The following is a 22,565-nucleotide window of genomic DNA, read 5'->3' on the forward strand; positions in this document are numbered from 1 at the left end:
AGTTCAAGACCAGCTAGGGCAACACAGCAAGACTCTGTCTCTACAAACATTTTTCAAAAAAATTTTAAAAAGAAGCAATGACATTGCTGAAGATATAATCTAAATTCCGTAGCCCAGTTTGTAAAAATTAAACATATCAACATTTCTTAGAGAAACATTGCATTATGATTACTTACAGAATAGTAAGATCAGGAGTGAAGATGGCTTTGTCATTCTTAGATTTTAAAAGTCATTCTTTGATTTTTTTAAAGTGAGATAAGGAAAAAAAAAAAGAAAATCTAACCATGCCAACATCTGGTTTTAAATTAGAAGAAATAATTCCACATTTTAAAATGTATTTTATTGGCTTTTTAAAAAACGTACAAAAGTCATACATAATTGCCATTACAATCTAAACAGCGTGAAATGTGTCTCAATATGAGGCCCACGGTCCCTGCTTTTCACCAGGAATCACCCGTACATCTTTTTCTCTAGAAATTATCTTAGAATTTAAAAACTCAAACAATGATATACACAATACTTGGGAACTTTACATTACAGATAGATAGACATCCATACACACACATTTGCATTACGCAACTGCTTTGCATTACAGATAGATGTCCATACACACACATTTGCATTACGCAACTGCTTTACATTACAGATAGATAGACTTCCATACACACACATTCGCATATGCACACTCCAACCAAACTACTCCTGCACACACACAGAAGCATGAACAGTCACTGCACACGCGCTTCAGGGTGGGGCCACTTCCGTGCAGAGAATATCTAAGGGGCTGGGCACGCTGTTGTACCCAGAGCCATCTTCCCTGACGGACACTCAGTGTCTTCACTGCCACACTCCCAGCCGCTCAGCTCGAGCCACCTGGTGTGATTCTTCTGCCCCAGCTCCGTTTCAGTGTCTGCAATGGTGGAATTGCCCCGGGGAATTCTCCAAATTGAATCCTGACATCCAGGCCCTAACCCTTACCCGTGACGTTGGGCTCTGGTGATGGGTCCAGAAATCAGGAAGTTTACAACTCCTGAGGGATTCTGAATGCAGCGCTGAGGGAGGTCCGTGGCCCCGATGAGCCTTCTCGGGGTGGGGTTCACTGGGAGCGGAGCAGCTGTCAGGGTGAGTGTAGCAGCAGGCTGTTCTTAGTGAGGCAGCGGGAACCTCCTCCCTTGTTGGGGCTAACCCCAGTGTTCACAGGCCTCCAGGTTTACCAGGCAGGACTAAGCCTTCATCCCAAGTGCCTTCTCCGAGGAAGCACAGGGCACCTGAGCCCTGCCACCTCCCCTCTGGCCCGAGGCCTCTGCCTGCACTTGCTGCCAACAGCCTCAAGATGCCGGCCTCCCCCAGCTCTCCTGCTGGCAGGCCACAGACCACACACATGCCTTTCCTCTGAAGACCCTCGTGGAGGCGCCCCCAAGCCCCCCCAGCAGCAGGATGGAGTTGTAGAGTGTCCTCCATTAGGCCCTGGGATGGAAAGAAGATTGTAATGGATATTCACGTTACAATGTTTCAACACTCTTTCCTGGGGGATAGAAACGTCATTGGCTCTGGCTGATTGTACGTGTTTGCACGCCCTGAAGGCCTCATTTTAACTTGATCACCTCAGTAAAGACCCGATCTCCAAAGAAGGTCCCAATCTGAGGTATTAGAGTCTAGGCCTTCAACATAAGAAACGGAGTGGGTAGATTCAACTGGAAACACTGATTAACCTACTGTGTTCCAACAAATGAAGAAAACCAAGGCTCTTCTTCACTACCCCTGGAGAGCATGACTGGGGGGAAGGTGCAGAAAGCTGCCTCTCAACAGCCCCACCCCCCACCGCACCCCCACTCCCACCAGCGTCACGGCCCTGACCTAACACCATGTACCTCTGTCCTCGGCCTGGCACTGCCCGTGGTGCAGATACTCCTGGAAGGCATCACACAGGAAACACCATTCCCTAGATCCAGTCTGCATCTCAGGTCACTGACGAAGGTAACATGGGAGCAGCAACAACATGTTCCTTAGATCAAAATCCACAAAATGGTGAGGTTTGAAATGAAAAGCCACAGACCGACGGCAAGCAAGACTACCTTCTCTACCCCTCCCTGTCTTCACACCTTCGCAATGTGGTCTTGCAGCTTCTCCCAGGAAGCAGCAGAGTCTCTTCCCTTGTGTCTGAGCTGCCCATAGAGCTTGGCCAGTAGAACGTGGCAGAAGCAGTCATGTGGGTACAGCAGGCCCAAGCCCAGTCTTCAAGGCCTTCCATGCAGTTACTCTCTCTCAGAACCCAGTACTACCGGGAAAACAAGCCCAGGCTGGCCTGCAGGAGGGTGAGAAACTGTAAGAAATACAGCTGGATCTGACCACTTGTTCCATTAATGTGAGCAAGCCCAATTCTACTCAGCCAACAACCCAACCCCGTGGACAGCACACCTGCGTGAACCCAGCCAAGATCGACAGGGCCCATCATGACCACCAGATAACCAGCCAGGACGCAGATGCACAGGCAAAAAGAACTGGCTTTTGTTTCAGGTTTCGGGGTATTTTCTTACGCAGCAATAGCTAACTGATACACCAAGCTCCGACAATTATGCCGCCTTTGTACCCATTGGAAGAAAGTATGTTTGGCAGAAGCCAGTGTTAGTATGGACCAGAAGTCTTCAGGGAAAAGTGCTGAGACTTATTTCCTGAGGTGTCTGAGTGACTGATCTTCTATGTGCATCTTCAGCACTGGGGAAGAGTGAGGGGTCTCACCGCAAGAGATGCTATGGAATACCAATAGCAATAATAATAAAATAATAACAAATATTTAACTTATTATTATTAGAAAAAAGATAATTATTGTATAATTAGATACATTATTACTATTTAACCTAAGTATTTCTGTGTTTAGTAATAAAAGGAAAGGAGCTTATAAATGCCATATTGTGATTGTCATTGGTTTGCAATTTTCTTTTCTTCTTTTTACTAAAAACAGTCAAGTCTCAAAGTAAGGGAGGACGACAGAAACAAGAGTGCAGTCATGAACAGGATCTTCGTGTAAACCGTGGGCTGACGTGATCTGGTTACTGCCTAGGCATTTGAAGGACGTGTTTGGCCTGTGGAGGGAAGGACGCTAATCCTATTAGCACCGAGGAGCTGAGATGCTCAGGTTCAGTTAGAACTTGGCCAAAGGATCTTGTGGAAACACAGGGGGCTGGGACAAGTGTTGCCAACCACTCCGGAGGCACAGTTCTTCCAGAGCCCTCTGATTTCTAAAGTTATACTGAGTCCAAATTCATAGTGAGTTCTACATTTTATATAATTCATTTAATATTTCTTCTTCAAAATATCTTTTTCTTGTGTTTTACTATGTGACCTTCTCACATTGTCGGGGTGCTGTGAGCACTGGGAGACAGTGCGGTGCCTCACTACTTTTGGCCTATAAATCATCTTATTGCGGAGGGGCCAAGAGCAGGGCTGGGGAAGAGTAAGTATATGAGGCCTGAGCGCTGTGCCCCTACGGTGGGTCCGCAGACCTGCTGGACCTTCCTGGGGCTTGGTTTTCTCAACTGTAACCTGCAAAGAGGGACTAGAGCCACCCATAGGCCTCCAAGCTGGAAAGTTATTTGACATCATTGTGTCTGTGTTTTAATGACACTGTGTTCTCATAATTTGTATAAAGTAATAAAGAACGACTCTAATCTTTCAGAAAAGAATATGAACTACAAAAATTTTGCACACAATCATTGTAATTTTTTCCACTAAAGACAAGTGTTGATGCACAATACAATGCTACCTTCTTTGAAACCTGACTAGTTTCAGCTGTGTGTGAGATGAGGAAGGAACAAAATTACAGACTAAACAGAATCTTTGTAGGGCACAAACACATCCAATTCTTCTCTGTTTCGGTTGTATGGATGGTGGTTTTACATACAAGGTAATGTGCCCACTTGCACTGCTTTAGTTTAAAGTTTATGCAATTTAGAAAAGGGTTATGACAAAGTTTGGTCCTTTTAATCTAAAATGCCATTTGTTTCCACATGAGAAAGGGCCCTGGCTCCTTTCATTGTGAAAGGGCACTGGGCATGGGAGAGCATGCAGCCGTTAGAAGAAACTCTCTCTCAGATCCTTTGCTAAGCACTTTGTTTTTATTTTTAATTTAATTTTTATTCTCTATTGAAACGTCTACTTGATATTCAAAATGACCTAAGTAATCAGAACCTCTGTCTGAAAGGAAACAAGTGCTAACTGTGAATGGTCTAAATAATTTACAGCAACATTTTTCTGTGAAGGGCCAGATGGTAAATAGTTTAGGCTTTGCAGGGCACACAGTCTCTGTTGCAGTGACTTAACTCTGCCATTGTGAAAGCATTCACAGACGATCTGCAAACAAATAAAACTTTATTTACAAAATGAGTCAGCTGGCCAGATTTGATCTTAGGCAGTAGAGAGTTTTCTGACCCTGGATGTAAACAAATGATGACAAAACTGCTTTCCTAAACTTTGACCTCAAAGTTAAGAGTGCTAAGTTCTTGAAGGGCTGCAAAGTGAAGTAGTTTGAGGCTGGCGGTTTGTTTTGACTCTTCCAATATTTGTTCTCAGGGTTACTTTGCTGGGACACCTTTAAACTGAAGGGACTCCATATACATATTTAGATTTCCATTTTACCTTTAAAAATTAGGCAGGTCTGGTCCCCAATACTGTATGGCACCAACCCATGCGCTGGCCACTCAGTGCCAGGAGTCCCTTTTAAGGCAGACACGTGTGCTCCAGTTTGCCCCTCCCTCTCCATCCCTCCCTGAGACGGACAGGCAGCTGCGAGTTACTGCCACCATGTTAGATGGCCAGTCTTAAACTCGGTCCACTCGTGTGTTTTGCATCTCAGCTCCCACTCTGGCCTCTATAGCCTGGACTCAACCACCCCTCTTTGTTACCTGGAGACATTCATACTGCAGGATGAGCGCTGAAATCCGTGCACCGCTAGAGGAACTGGGAAACACTAGTCATTTTAAAGAATGTTGTTTCTTTCTTCACAATGAAAAGAGACTCATTTAGCACTGCTCTGGTCTTACTGTTCTTAAGCATACCGTAAGAGTGAATCCTTTTATATCAGCCATTCTTCTTTTTTTCCATCTGTTTGAACTTACAGAAGAGGGCCCCTAGGTATCTCCATGTGATAGACTGGAAAAAATCTCACTCCCTTTCATGTTACACTGGACACAATTAGAAGTACGTAGAGATCCCCATTTATCAAGCGTGCAATGTACTCAGGACAAGGGAAATTCTGCCGGCAGATTCTGGAGACTTCCAGGCACTGCCGAACCCCCCCTTCAAGGTAAGTGTAAGCTCCCTGAGGTGTGAGCTGAGGCAGACGCTTGTTAGGCATTGGCAGAGAGGAAGGGTGGCAGGTGTTTTAAGGTCCCTCCCAATGCCAGGCTTTATGTAAAAAATATTTGCACTTTGAGGAATGGTTTCAAATAAATGAATAAGAGAGGGAGTGTGTGTTGCTATGGAATGAGGATGCCCATACACAGCCAGGCGGTTCTACTGCCCCTACCTGGGGTCTGGGGCTTCAGGACAGCCCTAGCAGGGCGCCTGCTGGGAGCTCTCCCTGGGTACCCACAGACTCGCGACAGGCTGGGCAAAGAAAGCCAGAGCCCAAGACACCATTTCCCCCATTCATCCCCCTCTCCAAAGTGTGCAAAAGAGGCAACGTCAAGCTAAGCTGGCTGTGAAGGACACTGGAACCAAACAAAGGGCAGCTGAAGGCCCAGGATCCACATAAGGTGTGTGATGGGAAAGCAGCCACGGATGGGGAGCGCCACACACACACACGTGTGCAAACATGCACTCCCACGCGCGCAGTCCTACTGAGAGGTGACAGCGTGCTGGCAGTCCTCAGAGCCCTCGCTTGCTCTGGGCACCTCCCCTGCCTGGGCTCCGACTTTGGCGGCATTTGAGGAGCCCTTCAGCTCCCCACTGCACTGTGGGAGCCCCTTTCTGGGCTGGCCAAGGCTGGAGCCCACTCCCTCAGCTTGCAGGGAGGTGTGGAGGGAGAGGCACGAGCGGGAACCGGGGCTGCGTGCAGCGCTTGCGGGCCAGCTGGAGTTCCGGGTGGGCGTGGGCTTGGCGGGCCCCGCACTCAGAGCAGCCGGCCAGCCCTGCTGGCCCCGGGCAATGAGGGACTTAGCACCTGGGCCAGTGGCTGCGGAGGGTGTACTGGGTCCCCCAGCAGTGCCGGCCCACCGGGGCTGTGCTCGATTTCTTGCCGAGCCTTAGCTGCCTTCCTGCGGGGCAGGGCTCGGGACCTGCAGCCCGCCATGCCTGAGCCTCCCACCCACTCCATGGGCTCCTGTGCGGCCCGAGCCTCCCCAAGGAGCGCCACCCCCTGCTCCACAGCGCCCAGTCCCATGGACCACCCAAGGGCTGAGGAATGCGAGCGCACGGCGCAGGACTGGCAGGCAGCTCCACCTGCGCCCCGGTGCGGGGATCCACTAGGTGAAGCCAGCTGGGATCCTGAGTCTGGTGGGGATGTGGAGAGTCTTTATGTCTAGCTCAGGGATTGTAAATACACCAATCAGCACCCTGTGTTTAGCTCAAGGTTTGTGAGTGCACCAATCGATACTCTGTATCTAGCTGCTCTGGTGGGGCCTTGGAGAACCTGTGTGTGGAAACTCTGTGTATCTAACTAATCTGATGGGGACGTGGAGAACCTTTGTATCTAGCTCAGGGATTGTAAACGCACCAATCAGCGCCCTGACAAAACAGGCCACTCGGCTCTACCAATCAGCAGGATGTCGCTAGGGCCAGATAAGAGAATAAAAGCAGGCTGCCCCAGCCAGCCGTGGCAACCGGCTCAGGTCCCCTTCCATGCTGTGGAAGCTTTGTTCTTTTGCTTTTTGCAATAAATCTTACTACTGCTCACTCTTTTTTTTTTTTTTTTTTTTTTTTTTGAGACGGAGTCTCGCTCTGTCGCCCAGGCTGGAGTGCAGTGGCGGGATCTCGGCTCACTGCAAGCTCCGCCTCCCGGGTTCACGCCATTCTCCTGCCTCAGCCTCCCAAGTAGCTGGGACTACAGGCGCCCGCCACTACGCCCGGCTAATTTTTTGTATTTTTAGTAGAGACGGGGTTTCACCGTTTTAGCCGGGATGGTCTCGATCTCCTGACCTCGTGATCCGCCCGCCTCGGCCTCCCAAAGTGCTGGGATTACAGGCGTGAGCCACCGCGCCCGGCCTACTGCTCACTCTTTGGGTCCACTCTGCTTTCATGAGCTGTAACACTCACCGTGAAGATCTGCAGCTTCACTCCTGAGCCCAGCGAGACCACGAGCCCACCGGGAAGAACGAACAACTCCAGAGGCTCTGCCTTAAGAGCTGTAACACTCACCGCCTAGGTCTGCAGCTTCAATCCTGAGCCAGCGAGACCACGAACCCACCAGAAGGAAGAAACTCCGAACACATCTGAACATCAGAAGTAACAAACTCCAGACGCACCACCTTAAGAGCTGTACCCACTCACCGCGAGGGTATGCGGCTTCATTCTTGAAGTCAGTGAGACCAAGAACCCACCAATTCCAGACACACTATGGGCTCACAGCGTGTACTCGCGCACACGCAGTCAGGTGTGGATGTACACCCGCGCACACCCAGGCACATGTACACCCGCGCGCTCACACACCCCATCCAGCTACAGCAGAATTCTGGCCAGGCTGTTGACCGCACACCTGCTGCCTCCTTGGCCACCCTGTCCACACAGTAGCCCGATCGACCCCCGTGGCGGCCGAGACCCAGGCCCATCCGCAGCCCTGAGACCTCCCTAGGGATTGCACCCAGCAGCCAGTCACCGGCCTCCGCGGCCTGGCCAGTTGAGGGTGGCCGTGACCGCGGGGCCAGGAGCGCCGCCACATCTCGGGGCAAATGGCGCGGGGGAAGAGTTTCCTCCTCAGCCTCCCCGTCTCCGATCGCTCCGCAAACTCCAGAGCGAGGCACGCGCCTTTAAAGGCAGGTCCGCGGCTCTCCCACGTCCTGGCGCCCGGTTTTCCGCACCCAGTGTCCCCACAGCTGTGCCCGGGCACAGAGGCGCGGCCAGACCGCACTCCGCGGGCTGCAGGTGTCCCGGCCTCTGGCGGCGCCGGTGCGGCCCGGAGGTGGGAGCCCGCGGAGCCACTGCAGTAGCTGGAGTCCCGCCGAGTCCCCAGCCCCAAGGCAGGGCAGGAGCGCGCACCGGCCGGAGGTCCATGCTGAGCATCGCCCGCGCCGGTGCCCGGCAGCCTCTCCAACTGTGTGGTCCCCGCGCGGGCAGAGAGGCACGGACTGCAGGCCGTGGGCAGCTCCATCTTCCCGCGTCCTCCTCCTCTGGCGCTGCCCGCTGTCTCCCGCCTTCCCTCTGCTCCCCGCTCGCCTCCGCCTCAGCGCCCCGCTGACCTCGCCTCCTCCCCTCTGCTCTTTGTCCCTGCACTCTCCCCTCCTCGGTCCTCTGACCCCCCCGCCCTCACCTCCTCCCCTCCTCTCTCCCCTGCCCGCCCCGCGCTCTCCCACCGCTCCCGCCGCCCCCGCCGCCGCGGCTGCCACTCCGCCCCCCGCGCCGCACGGAGCTTCAGTAATAACCCCGGCGCGGCGGCGGAGTCGCTGTGGGGAATCCTCCCGCGCTCTGCCTGGGTCGGGTCCTCCCTGCCCGCTCGCACGCTGCCGGCCGGGGACCCTCCGGTGGCCCCTAGCCCCTCGGAGCGCTCCTGGATGAAGCCCCGCGCGCGCGGATGGCGGGGCTTGGCGGCGCTGTGGATGCTGTTGGCGCAGGTGGCCGAGCAGGTGAGTCCCGGGCGCTCCCACCAGCGCGGAAACCGCGGGTCCGGACAGCTGGAGGCGAGTCCCCCGCGGCTCCTCTCCCGCGGACCCCGCCGTCTCACCGCGATGTCGCCGCTGTTTTCCGCAGGCACCTGCGTGCGCCATGGGACCCGCAGCGGCAGCGCCTGGGAGCCCGAGCGTCCCGCGTCCTCCTCCACCCGCGGAGCGGCCGGGCTGGATGGAAAAGGGCGGTAAGTCCGTGAGGTGGGGGCTTCTAATCCTTGCCATTTAGCAGCTCGTAATCTCCGTGCCGCTGGTTTATTAGGTGCTGTGAATGTTCACGACTCTGTGGAACCCTACTTTTAAGATGCTGTTGTGAACTTTTTTTTTTTTTAACTGTATGAGCGAGCCCCGATGAGTGGATTTCCACCAATATTTACATTTTATTCCCTGGCAAAACGGTTTGCCAGAGTTATTGATATAACATTAGGAAAAAGGTGAGGAAGTTCATTTTATTTTATTCTAAAGAGCTTAGGAAGAATCTAAAGCTATTAATGTATGCATCAAAGCCGTCATAAAGAGCAAATTACTTTCTTTTCCGTCCCCTTCTACATCCTCGGATCCTCCTTCCCGTCCCCAACCTTTCCTCCTTCTCCTCCTTTATAGATTAAAATATTCCTCTATCGTTGCTTATTCTCAGTGAAGGAGATAAAAGAAGCGCTTAGCATCTCAATACCAAAGTTAATGCTCCAACAATCAGGGCGTACTTCAAACATAATAGTGCCTGAAATGGCTAATCAGCTGATTGTGACACCATCAGCAACGTTCATATCCTGGGCCACAATTTGACATGAGGGCAAGTCTTATTCTTTTTCAATGCATGCTTTTACTTCTGCCACTTACAAGTGACATTTGGAAATTTGCTGTCTTATGGAAAGGGATCTCTGTGTCTTCATACTGCATCAGGTAAATGAGAACGCAGGTGTGTCGCACTGGTTGCTAGGTGGTTTTTTAACCTGAACCCATCCAATGACAGTTAATAAATATTATTTTGCATTGTTACCAACAATAAATTGCCGTATCAAATGTTAATATTAATTGACTTTTATAGGAAGAACTAGGTTTCATTCTCTCAATGTATTTCCAGAAGATCTAGAAAATTAAAGTTAACAATTCAGAATTTCTCAGTATAGTTATTTCAATTTGATAAAATAACATAAAGGCAAGCACTTAATATATGCATTAACTTTTGAAATTATTCCCTGCCAAATGAGTACACAAATAGTATATAAGGTGACCGGTGTCAGATTGACGCTCACCATAGTACCTTTTTGAGAACCACCAGGGGGCGCTAGGTGCAAATGATATAAAATGTTAAAAAAAATTGTCACAGTGAATTTACAAGAGAAAGTTAATTATCTGTCCATTTACAGACTATCCTCTTGTGGTTGTCCTTGTCCTTTTTAGGGTTTTGCTTACAATACTAAAAGTTAATTCTTACAATTTTAAAGGTTAATTCTAATTCACCTTTTTAAGTAAGATTTTTGTAAAAAAAAAAAAAAAAATTCTAGTTCCCTAAAACCATGAAAATTCCAGAGGGACTCAGGAGATTTCCACAATAGTTTATGGCATTTATGAAGTTTTATTTAAGATAAAACACATTATAGACACAGAAGAAAGAAGAAGAAAAGCCAGGGCTTCGTGCCTAAGTGTGCTTTTCTCCTAAAGTGATTCAATCTGCTTCAGCATCCTCTCTGGGAGTGGGGTGCCAGTGTGCTGCTCTGAACACCTGGCACCACAGTTGTTGTCACAACGTATCGTCTCCATGACAACCACTTATCTGGCTTGGTAAGAACCTGAAGGGGAAGAGGCAAACCCTTCTTAGTGAAGTTCTAGCCCAGTGGACACAGCACACACCCTCCTCCCCTACCTTCTATGCACTTTAGCTCCTTAATTATAAATGGCTAATGTGTGAGTCTGGACATCCACAACAAGCTTTTATGCCACCAGAGAAAAGATCCTCCTCAACAGTGTTGCCTGTTTCCCTCTGACCTGGAGCAGAAGAGCTAGAAGACACTTGGTGACTGCTGGGGTCAACTTACTGTTGCCTGTCTAGGTATCCATTAGACAAGTTGGTTCTGAAATAACTAATTGTAGCCATACATTTTGTTTAAAGTAGCGCATGACTCAAACTATTATTGCAAATCATTCTTGGTGGCTGAAGTAATTACAAAATAGCAAAGAGAACAAAGCTGGAGGTGTCACACACTACCTACCTGACTTCAAACTATGCTACAAGGCTACAGTAACCAAAAAAGCATGGTACTGGTACCAAAACAGATATATAGATCAATAGAACAGAACAGAGACCTCAGAAATAACACCACGCATCTACAACCACCTGATCTTTGGCACATCTGACAAAAACAAGCAATGGGGAAAGGATTCCCTATTTAATAAATGGTGCTGGGAAAGCTGGCTAGCCATATGAAGAAAACCGAAACTGGACCCTTCCTTACACCTTATACAGAATCTAACTCAAGGTGGATTAACTATTTAAATGTTAAAACCTAAAACCAAAAGCAATTGCAACAAAGCCAAAACTGACAAATAAGATCTAATTAAACTAAAGAGCTTCTGCACAGCAAAAGAAACTATCATCAGAGTGAACAGGCAACCTAGAGAATGAGAGAAAATTGTTGTAATCTATCCATCTGACAATGGGCTAATATCCAGAATCTACAAGAAACTTAAACAAATTTAGAAGAAAAAAACAAACAACCCCATCAAAAAATGGGTGAAGTATATGAACAGACAATTTTCAAAAGAAGACATTTATGCGGCCAACAAACATATGAAAAAAACCTCATCATCATTGGTCATTAGAGAAATGCAAATCAAAACAACAACGAGATACCATCTCACGCCATTTAGAATGGCAATCTTTAAAAAGTCAGAAAACAACAGATTCTGGAGAGGATGTGGAGAAATAGGAACACTTTTACACAGTTGGTGGGAGTGTAAATTAGTTCAACCATTGTGGAAGACAGTGTGGCGATTCCTCAAGGATCTAGAACAAGAAATACCATTTGACCCAGCAATCCCATTACTGGGTATATACCCAGAGAATTATAAATCATTCTACTATTAAGACACATGCACACATATGTTTAGTGAAGCACTATTCACAATAGCAAAGACTTGGAACCAACCCAAATGCCCGTCAATGAGAGACTGGATAAAGAAAATGTGGCACATATACACCATGGAATTCTATGCAGCCATAAAAAAAGAATGAGTTCATGTCATTTGCAGGGACATGGATGAAGCTGGAAACCATCGTTCTCAGCAAACTAACACAGGAACAGAAAACCAAACACTGCATGTTCTCACTCGTAAGTGGGAGTTGAACACTGAGAACATATGGGCACAGGGAAAGGAACATCACACACCGGGCTTGTTGGGGGGTGAGGGGCAAGGGGAGGGATAGCATTAGAAATACCTAATGTAGATGGCAGGTTGATGGGTGCAGCAAACCACCATGATACATGTATACCTATGTAACAAACCTGTACGTTCTACACATGTATCCCAGAACTTAAATTATAACAAAAAAAAAATCAATGGTCACATGCTCACTAGCGAACATAATAACAATGCAGAGAATATAAAATAGAATTGTGCTAGTTTCTCTTCCTACCCCCCTCTGCCTTTACTATTTGCCTTCTGCATTTTGTCCAGATAATCTACAAGAATTTACTTATTGCCCTGTGTTCCTTACAGGCTACACTTTTTTTCCTTTAAAAGGTCACTTTGGCTTCAGAGCTTACAACGTACTTTGAAAGCTCATTATTTGATCAACTTTGCCTCATGTGGTGAAATAATATTTTAGATTTCATTCTTTTAGAGTATATTTTTACAAGCTTTAAGGTATTCCTTTCTATAGCTTTATGGTAATTTAGTTACCAATTATCCGTTGTTGATTATTGTTTAAAATTTTACCTCATTACAAATAATACTTCCATGAAAATATTTACATAAACTTTTTAAAATTCGTCTGGGATTATTTCCTCAGGGTGATTTCCCAGGTCAAAGTATTTTGCAACTCATTGCCAAAGCCGACTTTAGGAGGGTAGTGTCATTTTTATTTCCTGATATCAGCAGCGTTTGAAAGAGGTGGCCGGTGGTGGACTGATTTTTTGTTAATGCGATTGATTTCTATTTAGAAGGCTATACATCTCCTGCCACCTGTCCCACCCTTCTGTCTCTGTTTTCTGGATTCTCCTTCCCTGCTATCCTCTTAGGGTGCTCGTGAACATTCCTCTGCTCTTAGAGAGTTACAGGCTCTGTCTTTGAGTCTGGAGCAAGCTGCAGTCAGGTGCCATCTAAGCAGCCAACTGTGGAAAGAGTGGGAAGGGTGGAGCCCGTGGGAGATGCTCCTGTTGGGTGGGCGAGGCATGGAGCTCTGTCCGTCTCCCCCAGCCTTTTGGAATTGAGCTCTCCGAAAACAACTGGGGCCTCACGGGAGCCTTGCAGGGCTTCTTGGAGTTCAGTTTGCCTGAACGCGGAGATTATGAGCCTACCACTTATATATATGAGTTTTTAGATAGGACAAACTTTTCCTCTTGCAAGATTATTGTGTTTGAAGTCTTTCAAATACGTCTTTCCCATTTATGGAAAAAATACTGTATTAATAAAGACACCAAATCACTGTGAGAATAATTAAAATACATACATTTACAGTGAAATTAATTATATTAAAAACATTGCAATACTCAAAGCTCATCATTTCATAATTATTTCACTATATTTGATAATAATCTAGGCTCTTGAGGCCACTGGCCTCTTTTGCATCTGTATGGTAGAAATATCACACACTGGGGGCTGCTGCGTATCTCTGTGCACTGAATATTCAGTGATGGCACAGCAGTCATTGAAATCAGCCATGAGGGGAAGATTTACACCAGGGAAATTGGCAAATGCCAAAATCCAGGTCGTTCTTCTCCAGACAGCGGGTTGTTGAATGTTTATTACCACAGCATTGTGTTTATGTAAACATGGCTTACCAGTAGTTATTTTGCATGATAAATATTATATGTGCCCCCAGTAAAGGACGAATATTTTCTCTCTTCAAAATAAAGGTCATAAGAATATGACTTATTTCATCTGAGAATAATTTGATTTCTTAAAGAGTAATCACCTTTTTATACACAATAAAATGTGCTAACCTTCCACTGTTTGGAACAAGCCATCCTGCTTTCTGTCATCCTTCCCCTGACTCAGCTACAGTGGTAGGAGCTGGTGGGAGGTGAGGAGCATGCCCCTGAGTGGCTGGGAGGGCAGATGACAGCTGTTAACATCACCGCATCACTGTTGGAGAATTTCCTGGCTTGGTAATAGCACATTATGGGGCCCTTGTTACAATTTTTTTCTTTAAACTGTGATGTTCCATATTGCACACTTTGAATTCAGTATGGGTAGGTGTTGCATTTTTCTTCATCATTTTTGACTGGGTGGAAAGGTCATGTGGTAAAATAATATTATATCTTAAGACTTCCTGATTCTTCTCGGAATTCCGAAATGACTCAGCCTCTGCTCACTCTTTTGATTTCAGAATATGACCTGGTCTCTGCCTACGAGGTTGACCACAGGGGCGATTACGTGTCCCATGAAATCATGCACCATCAGCGGCGGAGAAGAGCAGTGCCCGTGTCCGAGGTTGAGTCTCTTCACCTTCGGCTGAAAGGCTCCAGGCACGACTTCCACATGGATCTGAGGACTTCCAGCAGCCTAGTGGCTCCTGGCTTTATTGTGCAGACGTTGGGAAAGACAGGCACTAAGTCTGTGCAGACTTTACCGCCAGAGGACTTCTGTTTCTATCAAGGCTCTTTGCGATCACACAGAAACTCCTCAGTGGCCCTTTCAACCTGCCAAGGCTTGGTGAGTACAGCGCAAGCCCCAGGTAGGGAGGCGAGGTTGGTGATGGTGGAAAGGAGAGCGTAACCAGGACTTTCCCTCGATTTCGCATAGATGTTCTTCTAGTACTGCAGCGCAGATTAAGCAGGAGGAATATTGCCAAGTAAAACTTTTCCAAAAAACATTGCGTGCCTCCTCTGGCCTATTTGGAAACAGTGTGCACACCCACCCTGCTGCTGCTGTTCTAGAATTATTGTGGACGAGCACTTCAGCTTGAAACTTGTGTATAAGAACCGCTGGCCAAATCTGAATTCTTTAGCTTCTTAGGGGATGTTTTTACTCTAACTTACAGCTTCTAACTGACAGAAACTGGAGAAATGTCTTCATTTTGAATAAAACAACACAATTCAAGAGATTGGCCATGAGGATTATTTGATCAGATATTTGAAAGACTTTGAATACTGTACATCTTTCATTCTGATGATGATAATCTGCTTACACATTAGGGCATTCATCCATGGCAGGGCGTTGCTGGTCTTCCTGGACTGATGAATCCAGGGGTGCATTCCCCATGTCCTGCATATCGGGTTTGGAATGGCACATCACTTCAATGCTTCTGGTGCTGCAGTTTACAGGGACGCTAGAGCCGGGGGCTTATGGCCGAGCTAAGAATCTACCTGCATCCCTCAGGCCTACCCAAGTCAAAATCTCAATGGCTTGCTTTTTACTTAAAATATTTTCATATATTTAGGGAGAAAAATCTTTGGAGATTCTTAGATTCTTGGCAGCAAATGAATTGCTCAGGTGCAGAGGAGCGAAGTGTGACTTAGACAGCAGAGTGAAAATGTGTGGTCAACAGTTCAAGGTCTTGAGGATGTTAAAGGTTTGGCCAACAGGTCTGGGACGTTTATTGCTTCTCTAGAAAAAGCTTTCAGTGTGTCTTAAATTTCATTCCCTCTTTGAGGAGAGGGAATTCAGACCCCACATCTCATAAAGATTTTGTGTGTGTGAATTTTGGATGCTGAATTCATAACCAATTTCTTAAAATACTAAATATATGCAAATGCTAAATCCTGTAAAAAAATTTTTTTAGATGTTAACATTCTGCTTTTTAGAGAAATTTGATATGAGTTGATCTCATTGCTATTTCACTTGTAAGAAGTTTTTGGGTTGAGTTGCCAGGGATAGGGTGGTGGTTATTTGGCGCTCTTGTTAAGCATGAAGACAATGGGGCTGATTTCTTCCACACTCTCCCAAGAAAAATAAGTCTTCCTTAACGGACTAGAACTCTTCATGAAATGCACAAAATGAAGATACATCTTCCTTGGTTTTCTTTCACAAGGGCTTAAGCCAGAAATGGAAGCCATCTGTGTGGCAGCGAGGTGTGCCTTGCCCTTTACACTTGGGTAATTTTGGATTTGGTTGTGGAAATTGGTGAGGTGCTTCTTGCTAACCCAGCAAGGATGCAAGCTCCCTGAGGCCCCTGGGTTTCCCTGAGCCAGGGAGGCTGAGCTGTGCCCTGGAATCTGTTCCCTGAATCGAGGTGGTTTGCAGTAGCTTGAAATTTCTGGCTCTTTTTGAGCTTGATCAGAGTTAACAGGAAAAGTTAACAGTAAAGTAAGTGTATAATTATAATGAAAGATAAAGAAATTATAAATAACAGAAAAAAATGCTTCTCTGGATAATAACAGTGGTATCTGATACTGTAGCTGTTGGAAGAGAAATTTATATGTCTTCTTCATTAATCTTCCAAATACTTGTAGTCCAGCTTTACTGATATTTTGTCCATAGATGGTCACTACAAATGAGACCTCAACCAGACTTAAGAGTGTGAGGCTTAGTGTTTTCGTCATAAGACAGGACAAATCAAAGGCATTTGAAAGAGCCCTGTTCTTATTTAGGTATCTTTGCAGAGCCCAGGGGCGATCACTTTGAAAAGAAGATCTCTTCTAGCAGGAAATGCTCTATATTCCATTCTATCTGTTTAATTTGTAGGATAAGAATATTACTTTCAAGTGTAAAAATATATTGCTTAATTATTACATAATATCTTGTATCATTTAATTAGAGAAAATGGTTTACAGTTGTGAAACAATGCAATTTCCAAACTGGTACATAGTTTTTCACCCTGGTTCTGAGATTCTGCATTTGGAAGGATTTTGCTGTTGTCCACTAATGATTGGTTTGAGGAATAGTGTGAAAGTGAATCATTGAGGTGTTGTCCTATTTATAGTAAACAAATATTCATAAAGAAGAAAGGAAAAACTAAACAAACATAATACATTAAATCTCATGTTCACAGTGACAATTTGAGTACTGAATGACCTTGAGAACTATGTATGGCTGCAGCCTAGCAGACCTGGGCCCCAGGAGTTTATTGTCTAATGAGAGAGGCAGGACACAGGCAAGTCCCTTACGGGGGAGGAAACGGGGACAGGCATGGGAGCCAGAAGGACCCAGAGGAGGATGCCTCTGCGTGCCTTGCTGGTAGGTGGAGAGTGTCAGGGTAGGATTTTAGAGACTGTCCAGAAACCAAGTCCAAGCCCTGTCCTCATAGTAAAGTTAGAACGTGATGCCCATAAGTGAAGGAGTAACAAGCAGTCCTGGAGAAGACTGCTGGCATCTGCCAAGCTCACAGATCTTGTAACACTACCTATAAATGTTAAGAGCTTAACATTTGCATATTAAACCCAAGTATAATATATTCAATGGGATCTGTAAACCCTAAAATTATTTCTAGAGTTTACCCTGGTATTGCCACCAAGTATCTTGACTTAAAATATTTCTTATTCAGTTAAGTAAGGGTAATTTTTGGAAAAAGGGTCCCTGTTATATTTATGTCTCTACCAAATTGTCATTAGAGATCTGTTTGTGGTCACCAAACACAAGCACATAAATGTGTGTCACTCAGGTACTTTCCAGTACTTGGTTAAATAATGGATAGACTTAGAGGGCTAGTTATAAGTAAGAGACAATGATGACCATGGCAATAGCACAAAGAACAATAATGACTTACTGAATGTTATACTTTGCTAATAGCTTTACAATTGTTATCTCACTTAGCTTGAAGATAAGTCGAAGAAATAGGTACTATTTTTAAAACAGCTTTATTGAGATGTAACTCACTCTTTAAAGAGTTAATTAGCTCTATTCATTTAATAGAGTTTCACCCTTTACAATGTATCATTCAGTAGTTTTTAGTATATTAACAGAATTGTGCAAATTTCACTAGAATCTAATAGGAGACATTTATATCACCTCAAAAATAAACCCTTATGGGCAGTTCTCACTTCCCCTAATTTCCCCATTCCCATCCTAGGTAGTATAGGTTTGCCTAATCTGGCCATTGATTATAAACAGAAGCATACACTATGTGGCCTTTGTGACTGACTCATTTCACTTAGCATAATGTGTTCAAGATTCATCCACGTTGCAGCACATACCAGTACTTTATCCTTTTTTATTGCTGAAGTATACCACATATTTTATTTACCTGTTTATCAGTTGATGGACATTATTGTTTTACTTTTTTTGGCTACTGCGAATAATGCTGCTATGAACATTTGTGTACAGGTTTTTGTATGAACATGTGTCTTCATTTCTCTTGGGTAAATACCTAGGAGTGTAATTTCTGGGACATATGGAAACTCTACACTTAACGTTTTGAGGAATTTTCAAACCATTTTTCATATTAGCTGTACCATTTTATATTACCCTAGTAATGTCTGAAGTTTCCTATTTCTCCACATTCTTGCCAAATCTTGTTATTGTTCTCTCTTTTTAAATAGCCATCCCAGTGAGTACGAAGTAGTATCCTTTGTGGTTCTGATTTACTGGGTAGAGATTATTGGCTTGTGAAGTGGGTTCACTGTGCAGAGGTTAGCAACTTGTCTGAGTTTGGTGAGACAGCAACCCCCACACACAAGTTACATGAAGTGGCTTTATTACTTAGAGATAGGTAGGGCAGCAAGGGACAGCTGAAGCCTAGGAATCATCACGGGCCGGTGCACAAGGCTCAATACAGCAGCCTGAGTGGATGAAGTCTTGTCTGTGCATGCAACATGGCTGGGGCACCCAGAAAAGCAGCCCACCCTGGGTTTTATACCCGGGCACATGACGTGCTGGACAAGTTCTGCAGTTCAATCATCACAACAAGTTCTACACTTCAGTCATCACGTCATACCACAAGGCAGGGACTGCAACAGAGTCCAGGTTGTTTCTGCCCTTTCCTCCCTATCTCATGATGTTGCATTTCCAGCACATTTTGCAGTCATTCTTGAGAACGGCAAGGAAGAAAATGGGGAGGACTCAGTTGGTCCATAGTCATCCGTAGAATTGTTCTGCATAGGTTGACAGTTTTTTGTTGTTTTACTTTCAGCACTTTCAATATGTCATCCTACTGCTTTCTGACTTCCATTGTTTCTGGTGAGAAGTCAACTGTTTATCTCACTGTGGTGTATTATGCACATTGCATTATGCATATGTTAGTATGTATATTTTGGTATCCATTATGCATATGTTGATATGTTTAATGATGTCCCACATTTCTCTGAGGCTCCATTCATTTTTTCTTCATTCATTTTTCTCTGTCTTCTTCGTTTATCTTCAAGTTCACTGATTTTTTCCTGGCAGTTCAAATATATTATTAAGCCCCCTCATAAATTTTACATTGTGTGTACTGTACTTTTCAATTCCAAAATTTTTATTTCTTTCTTTTAAAAATGTACCTTCATTCAAATTCTCTGTGCAACACTGCCATCATGGCTTCCTTTATTTCTTTTCTCTTATTTATTTATTTATTTATTTATTTATTTATTTATTTATTGAGCTGGAGTCTCACCCTGTTGCCCAGGCTGGAGTGCAATTGCACAATCTCAGCTCACTGCAACCTCCGCCTCTCAGGTTCAAGTGATTCTCCTGCCTCAGCCTCCCGAGTACCTGGGATTGCAGGTGCACACCACCATGCCCAGCAAATTTTTTGTGTCTTTAGTAGAGATGGGGTTTCACCATGTTGGCCAGGCTGGTCTTGAACTCCTGACCTTGTGATCCACCCGCCTCAGCCTCCCAAAGTGCTGGAACCACAGGTGTGAACCACTGTACCTGGCCCATTTTTATTTTTAATGTATTTTTATCATATATATTTAAGGTGAAAACATGATGTTTATACACACACACACGCACACACACACACAATGAGAAGATTACTACAGCCAAGCAAATTTATCCATTATTTCCCATAGTTCCCTTTGTGTGTGTGTGTGTGTGTGTGTGTGTGTGTGTGTGTGTGTGTGTGTATGTGTGTGGGGGGTAAGAGCACCTAAAATCTACTCTTTAATCAAATTTTCAGTATACAATACAGTATTATTAAGTATAGTCTTCCTGCTGTACATTAGGTCTTTATACTTATTCATCCTATGTAACAGTAAGCTTGTATTCTTTGACCTACTTCTCCCCATTTTTTCCTCCTTTCTGCCACTGGGAAGGAGTGTTCTAATCAATACTCTACTTGCTACTTCTATGTATTCAACTTCTTTTTTAGATTCCACGTGTAAGTGAGACCATATAGTATTTGTCTTTCTGTGTCTGGCTTATTTCACTTAGCATATTGTCTTCCAGGGTCATCCTTGCTGTCATAAATGGTTCTTCCTAGTTGCTCACAACCAAAATCTTTATTATTTTTGACAATGCCCTTAGGCATGAAATTCCCACATTCTGCTCCAAATAATTTCAGGCCCTGGAGGCAAGCTCCTTGTTCATGCAGCCTGTCTCTTCTCCTGGGCAAAACCTCCAAGACACCGAATTGCAGATGGGACTGCTAGAATGGCTTGCTTCTCCCACTGTGACACCCTTACTCTATGAGCAGAGCTCCGGTGGGGATGGTAACCCCTTGTCTTCCCTGGTTGTGCTTCCTGTCTTGAAACTTTAACCTACAAGTGAGATGGAGTGGAGGTATTCAGGGTTTCATTGCTGTCGGCCTGATAAGCCTGGAGAGTAGTGTCCATTCTATGTGTAGGGGCTGCTTGGCAGAAGACAAACAAGTTCTGTTGGCCATGCCTGCCTGGAACAGAGCTTCTGCAATATGGAACTGAAGGAATTTCAGATGCAAGTGGCTTGCCTCCCCTGTAGTGCAAATGGAGTCTCAGAATAGAAGTTGGCTGGGGGTAAGGAAATAGGGATTCCTTATCTTCTTGGCTACACATGCCTGGAGAAGAACCTCTGTTGCATTTAGCTGGGGCCAAGGTAAAGACTTAAGCAAACCATGGCTCAAACACTACCAAATTTCACTGTTCTGTTCAAGGTTTATTAAAATGTTTTTCAGTAATTGTTTCTCCATATTTTATGCACTTAAGATAATTTCCAAGGACTTTAAATGGTTGAAGCCTGTGTGTGTGCATGCATGTGTGTAATTTTCAGCAATAAGTGGTTCTTTCACTGGGGTGAAATCCCACATTGCTCCTCAAATTGCCATTCTGGAAGTCTGTCTTCAATAGACACTATTATTAACATATTTTACAGATTATGATCCAAGACCACTTTATTATCCCCATTTTACAGATGATCCCAAAGCTAATTCTTCAAAACATGGGAATCCAGAACTAGCACTTGAAACCACAGTACTATTTCACTTCCCTTAATCATGGAGCTGTTGCTGCCTTACAGGGACCTGTGAGCTCATGCACATGAATTTGCATTGTGTCACCTGAACTTTCTCTAAGGGGTAATGACTTTCTCATTGGTTTCCACTTCAGTGCCATCTTCCTCAGCATCTAATGCTGTTTGAGCTTAGTGACCACATTTGCAGTTTGTAATGTTAAATTTGCAGTGTGTAAATATTAAAGCACATATGTGTACTTTATTCCATAATTATTTATTTACAGGTTTTTTAATACCAGACTATGAACTCTTCAAGAGTCGTTTATCATTCATCTTTGTATCCCAAAGTTCTTGTTAAACATTAACCTAAATTCATTTTGTTCTTGTAATGAGTGATTGTATTTCCAATTTACAAACAGAAATCCTATATCTTCTCAACCTCTATTTTTGGGTATTAATAAAGGTAAAATTAGTTTTATAATCCACTTCATCTGATTTCTTGCTATGACTAATGTCAAACACTGTAAATTTTCTTTTGAAGTGTATAGTTTATTAATAAATCGTTCAATCACTAGGGTTTTTAACAAAACTATTTTTTAGAAACTCCATTAGTCAATATTTTTAAGTGAGGGTTGTTTAAAAATGTTTTCTGTTGCATATGATGGGAATAGATTTTTCTTAGGATTTTCTGAAAGTTCTGTACTTGGATTAGAAAAAAATATATATAATCTGTCGACTGCCATTGGCATAAAATCTGCATGAAATTTAATTCGTCTTGCATAAAACATGATGTTTGTCAAGGCATTAATGCACAGGATAGGTATCATTTTTCCTAAAGTCTAATTATTGTTTTCAAAAATGTTGGAATACTTGTAAATGTTGTAATTCTCAGTTCTGTCTATACTCTCACTTGATTTGACACTTATTCAGGGCCCTGGTTTGAATTGTACTGGGTTTTATTTCTACCCACAAACTCCAGGGATTCCCTGGAAATTCTAGTCATTGAGAGATTTTTCTAAAACACTCAATAAATCCTAGGAAACTGTCTGAAATGCTGCCAGATTTTCAACTGACTTTAAAAAATGTTCTTGAGCCAGTATAATAAAATAGGAATAGAGAGGAAGAACCCACATGGGGGTATGATCAGAAGAGATACTATGATTTTTGAAAGAAAGGTGTCACTATCTGAGAAGACTGCTGATGGCATAAGCAGATGAAAATGTCAGTCTTGGGAGGCATGTGAGACAGCTATTAGGTTTTTGGATAAAGAACGGCCAAAGCTGGTGGTGACTAGGAAATTTAAGG

At 44.6% G+C, this 22,565-nt stretch overlaps 1 protein-coding gene and 2 long non-coding RNA genes across 6 annotated transcripts in view, besides 2 other annotated features; 1 reads left to right on the top strand and 2 right to left on the bottom strand.

The window, feature by feature from the left end:
* Nucleotides 1-319: 319 nt before the first annotated feature.
* On the bottom strand, nucleotides 320-8,289 carry ADAMTS16-DT (ADAMTS16 divergent transcript). Its single transcript, NR_109915.1, has 4 exons — nucleotides 8,191-8,289; nucleotides 2,103-2,305; nucleotides 1,872-2,005; nucleotides 320-1,467 (listed from the first exon to the last, which is right to left on the bottom strand). It is a non-coding gene; the product is annotated as an ADAMTS16 divergent transcript (long non-coding RNA).
* Nucleotides 7,771-8,337: an enhancer, noted in NCBI's record as "H3K27ac-H3K4me1 hESC enhancer chr5:5139649-5140215 (GRCh37/hg19 assembly coordinates)". NCBI's record gives its function as "activates a minimal SCP1, AML or CMV promoter by ChIP-STARR-seq in primed H9 embryonic stem cells {active_cell/tissue: H9 hESC(primed)}" and the evidence as "EXISTENCE:reporter gene assay evidence [ECO:0000049][PMID:30033119]".
* ADAMTS16 (ADAM metallopeptidase with thrombospondin type 1 motif 16) overlaps nucleotides 8,565-22,565 on the top strand; it is a 179,975-nt gene continuing 165,974 nt past the window's right edge. For all 4 annotated transcript variants that reach the window (NR_136935.2, XM_047416874.1, NM_139056.4 and 1 more), the window contains exons 1-3: nucleotides 8,565-8,774; nucleotides 8,899-9,001; nucleotides 14,365-14,690. Coding sequence is in view for 3 of the 4 variants with exons in the window: in XM_047416874.1 (XP_047272830.1) it covers nucleotides 8,703-8,774; nucleotides 8,899-9,001; nucleotides 14,365-14,690 (501 nt within the window). In the remaining variant the exon portion in view is untranslated. The remainder of the gene's footprint in view (nucleotides 8,775-8,898; nucleotides 9,002-14,364; nucleotides 14,691-22,565) is intronic.
* Nucleotides 10,373-22,565, bottom strand: part of ADAMTS16-AS1 (ADAMTS16 antisense RNA 1) — a 34,077-nt gene continuing 21,884 nt past the window's right edge. The window contains exon 2 of the long non-coding RNA NR_198969.1: nucleotides 10,373-10,606. This is a non-coding gene — a long non-coding RNA (ADAMTS16 antisense RNA 1). The remainder of the gene's footprint in view (nucleotides 10,607-22,565) is intronic.
* Nucleotides 13,697-14,896: an enhancer, noted in NCBI's record as "P300/CBP strongly-dependent group 1 enhancer chr5:5145575-5146774 (GRCh37/hg19 assembly coordinates)". NCBI's record gives its function as "activates an origin of replication core promoter dependent on BRD2, BRD4, P300/CBP, MED14 and CDK7 cofactors, with strong dependence on P300/CBP, by STARR-seq in HCT116 cells {active_cell/tissue: HCT116}" and the evidence as "EXISTENCE:reporter gene assay evidence [ECO:0000049][PMID:35650434]".

The sequence above is a fragment of the Homo sapiens genome, chromosome 5, assembly GCF_000001405.40.
Source record: "Homo sapiens chromosome 5, GRCh38.p14 Primary Assembly".
NCBI lineage: Eukaryota > Metazoa > Chordata > Mammalia > Primates > Hominidae > Homo > Homo sapiens.